Source organism: Homo sapiens, chromosome 6 (genome assembly GCF_000001405.40).
Source record: "Homo sapiens chromosome 6, GRCh38.p14 Primary Assembly".
NCBI lineage: Eukaryota > Metazoa > Chordata > Mammalia > Primates > Hominidae > Homo > Homo sapiens.
In genome coordinates this window covers 34,487,054-34,499,357 of record NC_000006.12, presented here as the reverse complement: position 1 = coordinate 34,499,357, position 12,304 = coordinate 34,487,054, and the positions used below count along the sequence as shown (strand labels likewise).

General features: G+C 50.2%; 1 protein-coding gene across 3 annotated transcripts in view, besides 1 other annotated feature; it reads right to left on the bottom strand.

Moving 5' to 3' along the window:
* PACSIN1 (protein kinase C and casein kinase substrate in neurons 1) overlaps positions 1-12,304 on the bottom strand; it is a 69,148-nt gene that overhangs the window by 35,866 nt on the left and 20,978 nt on the right. The window lies entirely within an intron of this gene.
* Positions 9,434-9,938: an enhancer, noted in NCBI's record as "H3K27ac-H3K4me1 hESC enhancer chr6:34457197-34457701 (GRCh37/hg19 assembly coordinates)". NCBI's record gives its function as "activates a minimal SCP1, AML or CMV promoter by ChIP-STARR-seq in naive and primed H9 embryonic stem cells {active_cell/tissue: H9 hESC(naive and primed)}" and the evidence as "EXISTENCE:reporter gene assay evidence [ECO:0000049][PMID:30033119]".

Genomic DNA, 12,304 nt, shown 5'->3' with positions numbered 1-12,304 from the left:
CTGCACACCAGGAGGTAAGTGGTGAGCAAGGAACCTTGTATTTAGCCACTCCCCCTCACTCACATTACCGCCTAAGCTCTGCCTCCTGTCTGGCAACATTAGATTCTGATGGGAGCGCAAATCCTACTGTGAACTTGTGAATGCGAGGGATCTAGGTTGCACACTCCTTATGAGAATCTAATGCCTGATGATCTGTCACTGTCTCCCATCACCCCCAGATGGGACTGTCTAGTTGTAGGAAAAGCTCTGGGCTCCCACTGATTCTATATTATGGCCAGTTGTATAATTATTTCATTATATATTATAATGTAATAATAATGGAAACAAAGTACCCTATAATTGTAATGTGCTTGAATCATCCCCCAACCCTCCCCTAACCCTGGTCTGTGGAAAACCACCCCCCAACCCCAGTCTGTGGAAAAACTGTCTTCCACGAAACCAGTCCCCGGTGCCAAAAACGCTGGGGCCCACTGTGGTACAAGGTATGGATCCAATTTCATTCTTTTGAATGTGGATATCCAGTTTTCTTACCTGGGACACTTTTTTTTTTTTTTTTTTTTTGAGACAAAGTCTTGCTTTGTGGCCTAGGCTGGGGTGCAGTGGTGCAATCACAGCTCACTGCAGCCATGACCTTCCCGGGCTCAGGTGATCCTCCCACCTCAGCCTCCAGAGTACTTGGGACTACAGGTGTGTGCAACCATGCCTAATTTTTTTGTGTATTTAGTCAAGACAAGGTTTTGCCATGTTGCCCAGACTGGTCTTAAACTCCTGGGCTCAAGCAATCCACCTGCCTCGGCCTCCCAAAGTGCTGGGATTACAGGTGTGAGCCACTGTGCCCAGCCGGGACACTTTTAAAACTCCTCAAGACCAGGCTGCTGCATGGGAAAAAGTACTTGCAAATCATATATCTGATGAGGGATTAATATTCAGAATATATACAGAACTTCTACAACTCAATAACAAAATACCAAACAACCCAGTTAAAAAACAGGCAAAAGGGCCGGGCGCGGTGGCTCGTGCCTGTAATCCTAGCACTTTGGGAGGCTGAAGCGGGTGGATCACAAGGTCAGGAGATCGAGACCAGCCTGGCCAATATGGTGAAACTCCGTTTCTACTAAAAATACAAAAATTAGCCAGGCGTGGCGGCGCGCACCTGTAGTCCCAGCTACTTGGGAGGCTGAGGCAGAAAAATCACTTGAACCCGGGAGGCAGAGGTTGCAATGAGCCGAGATCGTGCCACTGCACTCCAGCCTGGTGACAGAGGGAGACCACGTCTCAAAACAAACAAACAAACAAACAAACAAAACAAACAAAAAACAGGCAAAGGACTTTTCTGCACCCCAGAATCTCTGTGGTGGGGCACAGGCATCAGAACTCAAGGTTCTCCAGGTGATTCCCATGGGCAGCCTGGAATGAAACCGTTGTCTACTACACTGAAATCTTAGTCCCAATTGTATTAGTCTCTGTATTCTCAGTTTCTAGCATGAGGCGTGGCCCATGGACACATAGAATAGGGTATACACTGGGCCCAGTGGGGACTTTGGGAGATTCTAGCCCTAGAAATTCTCAAATAAATGGGCCTCCCAGCACCATGCCATGCCCATTGCTTTGACAGGTGCATTCAAGAAGATGAACAAGAACTGACCATGGGTTCAGCCCCAGCAGAGCGTGGGAGGGATCGAGAGAGACCACAGAGTCGGATGGCAACAGAGTGATGGACAGTGTGGGGCAGGTTGTCTGTTCACAGAATCAGAGAGGTGTGGCTGCCTGGGGGCAGGGCTGGGGCACGCACACCCTTGGAGGGGATTCCAAGAAGGAGGAAGAGCTCAAGGTGAGCCTGCGAGGAGCCTCGTTGGAGAAGCTTCCCAATTGTTGCAGCAGCTGACTTCTGCGGAAAGCCTATCTGCCCAAGCTTTCCACGGTGCCTCCTCATCTTTAACCGCGGATGATAGCAGCACCTACCTCACAGGGCAACTGGGAGGATACCTGGGCTAAGGCATGAAAAGTACCTGGAACAGTGCCTGACACACAGGAAGCACTCAATAATGTCAGTTATATATTCCATCATTATCTCCTTTAATCTCAACAACCCTAAGAGATGCACACCATTGGCTGGGCGCGGGGCTCAGCCGGTAATCCCAGCACTTTGGGAGGCTGAAGCAGGAGGATCACCTGAGCTCAGGAGTTCGAAACCAGCCTGGCCAACATGGTGATACCCTGTCTGTACTAAAAATAAAAAAAATCAGCCAGGTGCGGTGGTGGGCGCCTGTATTCCCAGCTACTTGGGAGGCTGAACCATGAGAATTGCTTGAACCCGGGAGGTGGAGGATGCAGTGAGCCGAGATTGCACCATTGCACTCCAGCCTGGGTGACAGAGCAAGATGAGACTCTGTCTCAAAAAAAAAAAAAAAAAAAAGAGAGAGAGAGAAAGAGATGCATATCATTATCTCTATTTTTTTTTTAAGTTGAAACTGGAGCTCAGAGAGGTAAAGTCAATTGTCTAATGTCACACAGCAGGAATGAGCCAGGATTCACTCTATTGTATCCAGCTCCAAAGCCTATGCACAAATCTTCCACAAAACTTGGGGACCACAGGCTGGAGTCCTGGAATCCAGGAATCCAGAGTTGGAAGGGGCCACCCAAAGCCATTTTGTCTGGTCTAACCATTTCATTTGTACAGAAAGATGACCAGAGAAGGGAGCATGTCAGATGGAGTAGGGTGTGCAGCTGAGGCTTCTAAACAGACTCACAGACAGGACAAGCCACGGCCTCAGCCTCAGCATCAGTCTTCCCACGAGTCAGCAAGCTCTGCCTCTCCCGTCTCCAGCCAGCGCAGCTGAAGGAGCACTAAGGAGCTGGGGTACCATCCAGCAGGAGGAGGCCGAGCAGCCTCTGCGCCAAGAGCTCACCCATGTGCCTCCCGCCTCAGGCTGGCAGAGATCACCCCAGAAGACCTCAGCCCCCACCCCCCTCAGCCTGGGCCTGCAGCCCAGTGACCCTCTGACAGGCCCCCACCGTAGCCTCCTCCCCACTGTAGGGAGGAAATCAGGCAATTACAGATGACCTTTGCAGGAGAGCAGAATGTAAACTAGAATCCATTTGCCTGTGCAATCTTCATAATTACCGCAGCAATTATCCCCAATGAGCCATTGTGACCAAGGCTTCACTCAGCCCAGGTGCTGGGCCTCTCCAGCCAGGTTTTGGTCCCTCACCCTCCCCACCATAGGCTGCCTTTAGTCCTATGGCACAATCACCTGCATCTGCACAACTTGCTGCCTCTCTGCTCTCCAGCTACAACCACACAGGGGAGCAGCAGGCAGCTGGCTTCATCCCTGTTGTAGGGATGGGGAAACTGAGGCTCAGCTTCACCAAGGATAAGGGGCCTGTAAACAGTTGAGTTCTGATAGGAGTTAGACCTTAACACCTCTCCTATGCCCCATTTCTTCCCACTCTACATTCTCCTGGGCCTGGGCGAGACAGAGGGACCCTTTGAGTAATCTCTCCTTTAGAAACGGGGGAGATGGAAACACAACTGGTATGATTTAGGGAAGTAGTTTCTAAACCTGTGTGTGCAACAAAATATCCTTTAAAAAATACACATTCCTGGCTGGGCACGGTGGCTCACGCCTGTAATCCCAGCACTTTAGGAGGCCGAGGTGGGCGGGTCACCTGAGATCAGGAGTTCAAGACCAGCCTGGCCAACAGGGTGAAACCCTGTCTCTACTAAAAATCCAAAAATTAGCTGGGTGTGGTGGCGCGCGCCTGTAATCCCAGCTACTCAGGAGGCTGAGGCAGGGGAATTACTTGAACCCGGGAGGTGGAGGCTGCAGTGAGCCAAGATAGTGCCACTGCACTTTAGCCTGGGTGACAGAGTGAGACTCCGTCTGGAAAAAAAAAAAAAAAAGGATATTCCTGATCCCCACGTTGGAGATTCTGATTCTGCTGATCTAGGGTAAAATCCAACTGTCCCTGTTTTAGTTTTGACTTGTAAAGTTCCTTCATGTGATTCCAATCATTAGCCCATATATGGGAAATGTTAGGTGGTAAAGGAAAGAATTCCTGAATATTTCTTGTTCTTTCCCTCACTGTCACCATTTCCAACAACCAAAAGCTCCTTTTGCACATCTAAATAACCACTGGGAGAGTTAAGGGAAGAGATGTGAGTCATTCACACCTTAGTATAAATAAGCGCACTCAGCTAGCTTTTTGCCTAATGCCTAGCTGAGATCCTGCCCATTTTGGAGGAGGAGAGGGTAGGAATTAGGAGTGTTGATGGAGGAGGAAAGACAAGCGAGCTGGCAGAGGGAGGGAATAGAGGTGCTTCTGAGAGAGGTGTTAAGAGTGAGGCGCCTTGAACTGAGCCAAATGACTTGAATGGTAAATACCATAATGGGAAAACCAGAGAGAGGCTTGGACTTACAGTAACTAGCACTGGTGCCAGAGTTCAGACAGCAACCAACCAGTGTTTGCCTGAGCTCTGAGGGAGAGGATGAGCACAGCATAAAAACCTGCCTATACAGCCGATAGCTGGGGAAGTGATCTAATGCCTCGATACTCAAAGTATGGTCCAAGGACCAGCAGCACTGGCATGACCTGGGAGTTTGTTAGAAATGCAGGCTGTGGCTGGGCTTGGTGGCTCATAGCCTAGCACTTTGGGAGGCCAAGGTAGGAGGATTGCTTGAGCCCAGAAGTTCAAGAGCAGCCCGGGCAACACAGCCAGACACCATCTCTACAAAAAATTTAAAAATTAGCCAGGCATGGGGGGTGCACAACTGTGGTTCCACCTACTTGGGAGGCTGAGGTAGGAGGATTGCTGGAGCCCAAGATGTTGAGGCTGCAGTGAGCTATGAATGCGTCACTGCACTCAGGCCTGGGCAACACAGCAAGACTCTGTCTCAAAAAAGAACAAAGAAAAGAAATGCAGGCTCTTAGGACCACCAGACCTACTGAATCAGAATCTTTTTAAAAGGCCCCCAGAAGACACCTGTGTGCATTAAACTTGGAGAAGCTCTGGTCTAACATTTAAGCACAGAGAGCTCTGGGAATGACCTGCTTCTAAGAGGACATTGATGAGCAAGAGGTAGGGGCATACCATGAAACAAAGAATGGGGATGGGCACTGGGGAACTGGGCAGAGCAGGGTAACTCTACCAAGGAGCCAGCCTGAGTTGCTTTCTAAAGGAAGGGGAGGGTAAGATAGGCCAATAAAACTAACAAGTAGGTAAATTTTGTGTCCCAGACTTGGAATCTACAGCTTGGTTTCAGGCTCACTTTTACTGATTTCTGTGTGACTTTGCCCAAGTAACTGGCCTCAGTTTTGTCTTCTGTCAAATAGAGCTGATATTCTGTTCTCTTGCTGCCTTTAGAGCTATTATGAGAACCAAAGGAGCTAAGATGAGAAAGTGCATTGGAGGCCATGAAATGCTGGACAGGGCAAGTCAAAGCAGCTGCTTCCTAGTGTCCACAGAAGCCTGGCCTTCCAGGCAGCGAAGCTTACCCCTGCTCCCTTCCCACATCTGATAGCTGGAATCCCATGCTGAAAGGAGCTGGACAAGCCTGGGCACTTGAGGATGTTACGATCTGATAATACTCTAATGTGTCTGCCAGGATTTGGTTTTGAAGACCCTTGGTATTAGAATCAGGTAGTCAAGTGGGGGTGGTCCAAGGGCTCCCCACATCTCACGTCCTCCTACCCATTGGGGAGCACTGGTTCCCCACCAGGGTTCACAACAGAATCAGTGATGTCTGGACCATCAGGGTGGCTAAAATGAAAAGACAGATAATATCAAGTGTTGGCGAGGATGCAGAGTAATCACAACTCTCAAACACTGCTGGTGGGATTGTAAAATGGGATCAGCCATGTTGAAAACTATGCAGCAATCTCTACTGAAGTTTGGCACACATATCCCTTAGACCAGCACTTCCACCGTTGGGTTTACATGCAGCAGAAATGAGTGCCCAGGCCACCAAAAGACACGCACATGAATGCTTGCAGCAACCATATTCATAGTAGCCCCCAAACAACCTACGTGTCCACCAATAGCTGAAAGACTAAGCAGATATACTGTGTACAATGTTATGCCCTGTGCCACCCCAAAGTCCAGCATCAGGGTGAAGACACTCCATCCCCCAGCTGCAGGGGATATTCACTGCTGACAATTCTGAGAGTTCTTTTCCAAGAATTGCCCTCCTCTTGCTGGCCCCCTCCCAGGGGCAACTCATATCCAACAAGTGCTTGACCCAGGCCTGGATCCCTTGCTTGATTTGGGACAACTCTGAAGTGTCCTCCCAGCCCCAGCGCTCCATATGGGATCAACTGAGGCCTGTGTTAAAAGGGCATCTTAGCTCACCCTCTCCCACTCTTCTGCCCTGTTCCACTTCCCTATGCTCTTTTCTCATGTGTGTGGTTTTTATTTATTTCTAACTTTTATTTTAGATACAGGAGTACACGTGCAGGTTTGTTACATGGGTATATATTGCACCCAGGTAGTGAGCATACTATCCAGTAGGTAGTTTCATGACCCACAGCTCCCTCCTTCCCTCCTCTAGAAGTCCATGGTGTCTACTATTCCCATGTTTATATCCTTGGGTGCTCAATGTTTAGCTCCCACTTACAAATGAGCACGCACTATTTGGTTTTCCGTTCATGCATTAATTCACTAGAATTATGGCCTCCAGGCCGGGCGTAGTGGCTCATGCCTGTAATCCCAGCACTTTGGGAGGCTGAGGTGGGTGGATCACTTGAGGTCAGGAGTTCGAGACCAGCCTGACCAACATGGCAAAACCCCATGTCTACAAAAATACAAAATTAGCTGGGCATGGTAGCACGTGCCTGTAATCCCAGCTACTCGGGAGGCTGAGGCAGGAGAATCGCTTGAACCTAGGAGGCAGAGGTTGTGGTGAGCTGAGATCGTGCCATTGCACTCCAGCCTGGGCAACAAGAGCGAAACTCTGTCTCAAAAAAAAATAAAAATAAATAAAAATTAGCTGGGCATGGTGATGCGTGCCTGTAGCTACAGCTACTAGGGAGGCTGAGGCAGGAGAATTGCCTGAACCCAAGAGGCAGGAGGCAGAGGTTGCAATGAGCAGAAATTGTGTCACTGCACTCCAGCCTGGGCAACAGAGTGAGATTTTGCCTCAAAAAAAAAAAAAAAAAAAAAAAAGGTCAAAAAAGAACAGATGCAGGCAAGGCTGCAGACAAAAGGGAACACATATACACTGTTGGTGGGAATGTAAATGATTTCAGCCACTATGGAGAGCAGTTTAGAAATTTCTGAAAGAACTGAAAACAGAATTGCCATTTGACCCGCAATCCCATTACTGGGGTATATACCCGGAGAAAAACACATCATTCCACCAAAAAGAACATGCACTTGTATGTTCATCTTTACACTAGTCACAATAGCAAAAAAAGGGAATCAATGTGGTGGATTAAAGAAAATGTGGGGGCCGGGCGCGGTGGTTCACATCTGTAATCCCAGCACTTTGGGAGGCTGAGGCGGGTGGATCACCTGAGGTCAGAACTTCAAGACCAGCCTGGTCAACATGGTGAAACCCCGTCTCTACTAAATATACAAAAATTAGCTGGGCATGTTGGCGGGTGCCTGTAATCCCAGCTATTCGGGAAGCTGAGGCAGGAGAATCACTTGAATCCAGGAGGCGGAGGTTGCAGTGAGCCGAGATCACGTCGTTGCACTCCAGCCTGGGCAACAAGAGCGAAACTTCGCCTCAAAAAAAAAAAAAGAAAAGAAAATGTGGTGCATTTACACCATGGAGCACACAGCCCTCTCCTCTTATACGTGGTGTTCTAAGGGGCACTTCCCAGCAGCGACCCTCCTGCACACAAGTCTCCAAGTCAGAACCTAACCTACCCCAGTTGGTGTCAGGACTGATTCTAGGAAGCAGCCTCTGAACACTGGGACCCAGAAGCTGGGTCGCCCACTGTCACTGGTGCTAGGAGAGCTGGAACCCAGCAGGTAGCAGGGAAGGGACCGCACTGCAGGGACAAGAGCTCCCGAATTGGAGAGGCTGGGGGAGTGGTAATTAATTATAAAGCCTGTGGAAGGAGACGGCTGTGCTGGGGCCCGCGTGCACTAGAGAAAGACAACGCAAGGCTGAGTGTGACTCATCACTAATTTAAGGCCAAGTGAGAAAGCCAAGGGCCTCTTTAGCAGCAAATAGATCCTCCTCTCCTGCAGCTGGAGAGGAAAAAGCTGAGGAGCGGGCCCAGGGCGCAGTTATGAGGGGAGCGTAAAACAGAAGAAGTTCAATGCTCAGCCCACGATGAGTCGGCTGCGTCAAGGTCAGAACCTGCTTGGGAAAGAGTGAGGTGCAGAAGTGACCCCCGGCGAGCACTCCCCCTGCTCGAAGACTATGCAGAGGATCAGGGGCTGGCCCAAGGGCGGGGGTGGGACATCAAGTGGGATAAAATAGAGTCAATCCCATAATACGAGAATTAACACCCTGGCAAGAGGGCCTTAACATGCTGCTTGGAGAAAACGAAAGCCCACAGTAGAAGCAGAAACGCCAGGGCTGCCGTGTCAGGCAGTGGAAGAAAGGATCCAAAGGCCTGGAGAAGGGGGGCATGCTTGGGTTTCCGCCATGTCTGGCCAGAAACCCACTCACTATCTGTCTTCTTCAGGAAGGCCGGGCAGGCACCTCATTTACCAGGGCCAACGGGAAAGCCCCTAAGAAGCTCAGGTGAATGTCCTCTGAAGACCTGCTAGTTGGAGCTGCAGTTACAGAACTGGGTGCCCTGACAACAGTGCGGATGACAGGATCCTGAAGGAAGAGGCCAGGTGGCGGCGCTCGGTCATCAGAAGGGCAGGCTCAGGAGTCATGAGATGGAGGCAGTTACCACCGCTAGCAGCTGGGTCAGAGCTGCCAGACCCGCCAAGCCATGGAAATGGTTCATAGACTCTGTGTCCCAGGGCAAGCCAGAAGGGCAGCAAACAAGGACACTGCCCACTTGATGCAATCAAAAGAGTCCAAGAGCTGGGCATGGTGGCTGACACTTGTAATCCTGGCACTTTGGGAGGCGTAAGTGGGAGGATCCCTTGGGCCTAGGAGTTCAAGATCAGCCTGGGCAACATAGGGAGACCCTGTCTCTACAAAAAAAAAAAAAAAAAAAAAGTTTTTAAATTAGCCAGGTGTGGTGGTGCATGCCTGTTGTCCCAGCTACTCAAGAGGCTGGGGTGGGAAGCTCACTTGAACCCAGAGGTCGAGGCTGCCATCAGTGAGCCCTGATCACACTACTGTACTCCAGCCTGGGTGACAAAAAAAAAACAAGAGAGAACATCCAAGGCTTCATGATGGGGGTTAAGGGCAGCAACCCAATGGAAAGTCCTGGTCCTTTGAGAAGTTTCCAGATCTGAGTAAGGTTTCAGATCCAACTGACTGAAGGAGAGACCAGGTCCCCAGAAGGAAGGACCCTGCAACCCCAGAATCAGCACATGTGATGATGATTCCATCAGTCCCTCCCAAGAAGGGCTTACACGCTTTTTATGTGAGTAACTATATGTGGGAGAAAGATGAATACCCAGGCATTTCAAAGACTGTCAGACATAGGGTCCACATGGACATTGGTCTGGGGACCCAAAGAGGCATCGTGGCCCCCTGTTAGGGCGGAAGCATATGGGGGCAGGTGATGAGTGGAGTCCTGGCCCAGCTTCGGCTCACAGGGAGTCCAGTGGATCCACAGGACATCCAGTGGTAGTCTCACTGGTCCCTGAGTGTATAACTGGAATAGACACACATTGCAGAACCCCCACACTGGTGCTTTGGCCTGCGGGGCAAGAGCTACTATGATAGCTCTTGGAAGCCTCTGAAACTGTCTGCCTCTGAAACTACCTGCCATTGAAGGAGGTGTGGCTGTGGGTTTTCGACGTGGAGGCCTGCGGGTCTCACCATACACCGCACCACCCAGCACTGCTGCTGGATGGGGTGATGCAACAGCCTTTTGGATGCAGCTGACCAAGAGCTCTACTGTACAGGATGGTGGCTGTAATTCATGACAACGTGCTGTATTGTTGAGCATTGCTACAAGAATAGATTTTAAGTATTCTCACCATAAAAATATGTGAGGTCATGCATATGTTAATTAGCTTGATTTAGACATTCCACAATTTCAAAACATCATGTTGCACACCATAAAAATATACTTTTTTTTTTTTTTTGAGACAAACTCTCACTCTATCACCCAGGCTGGTGTGCAGCAGTGGCACCAACTCGGCTCACTACAACCTCCACCTCCCTGGCTCAAGCGATCCTCCTGCCTCAGCCCCCCAAGTAGCTGGAACTACAGGGGCATGCCGCCACACCTGGCTAATTTTTGTATTTTTAGTAGAGACAGGGTTTCACCATGTTGCCCAGGCTGGTCTCGAACTTCTGGGCTCAAGTGATCCACCTGCCTCGGCCTCCCAAAGTATTAGGATTACGGGTGTGAGCCACTGCGCACAGCCAATATAGTCAATTTTTATTTGTCACTTTAAAAAATAATAGGCCGGGTGAGGTGGCTCACGCCTGTAATCCCAGCATTTTGGGAGGCAAAGGAGGGAGGATTGCTTGAGCCCAGGAGCTCAAGACCAGCCTGGGCAACAAATCAATCAATCAAATAAATAATAATAAAAAGATGCAGATGAGGTGCCAGCTTGGAGCTGATCTCCTGCAAGGATGGTGAGCTGTCTTCTGGAACATGGCACACACTCTAATGACTACTGTATGGTGCTGAGTCCCTAATGGGACTAGAATACATGCATCTAAGAACTATGGGGTAGAAGTAGGAGCAGCCCCATTCACCACCACACCCAGGGACAACTCTGGGCACTGCAAGTTTAGAAATCCTGGTTCCCAAAGGGGAAATAGTTCCACCAAGAGACAGCAAGAGTCACATTAAACTTTCAGCTGTAACTGCCACCACTTCCCTTCAGGCCCCTTGTGGCAAGAAACCAGCAGGGAAAAAACAACAACACAGAGTCACCATCCTGGCAGGAATAACTGGCCCTGATCATCCACTTGGGCCTTCTGTACAAGCCTCACACTGTTTGTATGGCAAGGGGCAGGGAAGAATAATAGCCTTGGCAGCCAGGTAATTCCCTGGGACATCTCTTGGTGCTCCCTTGCCTGGTATTGATGGGAAATGGGAAAGGGCAATGGTCAGGGTCTGAGGAGAGCAGGATGGCCAGAGACTCAGACTCCCTCAGACATGAGGGGCCAGGTCCCCTCAAAAGGGAAGCCACCCAGACCAACAGAGGTGCTGGCCAAGGTCAGGGTCATTGAAGAGGGAGAGTGCAAGTGTCTGTTGTGGCCCAGAGTCCTGCTGCAGCAGCGGGACTGTGGCTTATCTCACTGACCTTCCCCTTATAAGCCTCCCCAGGAAAAGAGACCAACCAGGACCCTGAAGAAGCTGTTCCCAGGTGGGATGAATTATTATAAGGGCTCAGATTTCCAAGTAGCATGAGGGGCAGGCTGCAGTGGATGCTGTAGGTTTGCCACCTTCCCAGGGTGAGGTCACTTTTGACCCCAGCTGTTGGGAGTGTTGCCTGCTCATGGTCCACGGCTGAGTCCCTCTCTGGGCATTGCCCTTGGCTGAAGGGAGCCACCTCGTCAAAGGTTATGCCTCCTCCCCAGAGACAGCCTGCGTCCAGTGACTGGTCAATGCGAGGGTGCAAAGCCCTGGCCCCTTGTCTTAATATGGTATGATGTTCAAGAGTCACCCCAGCTTCAGGGTTCCATGTGGGGTCAGCTGAGGCCTCTACTGTGACTTCTCCTTCAGTCCAGTCCTCCATCCTTCAATCCTGTTGATTCCGAGAGCAACCTCCTGCATCCAAACCTCCTGCATCCAAACCTTCAGCTCAGAGTATTTTCCAGAAACTAGACCTACGCCAACTACACAGTGGTAGAGAAGGGAAAACCACTCAGCCCACCGGAGCACGGGGGACTCTCACAGACAGAGCACTGAGCACCAAACAGCACATTCCACGTGATTCCATGTCTGTGAAGTTCCATAACAGGCAAACCTGATCCTGACAGTCAGAAGACTGGTTACCAGGGGCAGACATTAACTGGGAAGGAGCAGGAGGGAACCTTCCAGGATGCGGGAAGTGTTCTATATCTTGTTCTGTGTAGTGGCTCATGTTCACTGACGTGCACTTTGTACTTTAATTAATTGATTAACTGATTGACTGATTGAGACAGGGTCTCACTCCATCACCCAGGCTGGAGTGCAGTGGTGCAATCATAGCTCACTGCAGCCTCAACCTCCCTGGGCTCGGCTGATCCTCCCACCTCAGCCTCCTAAGCAGCTG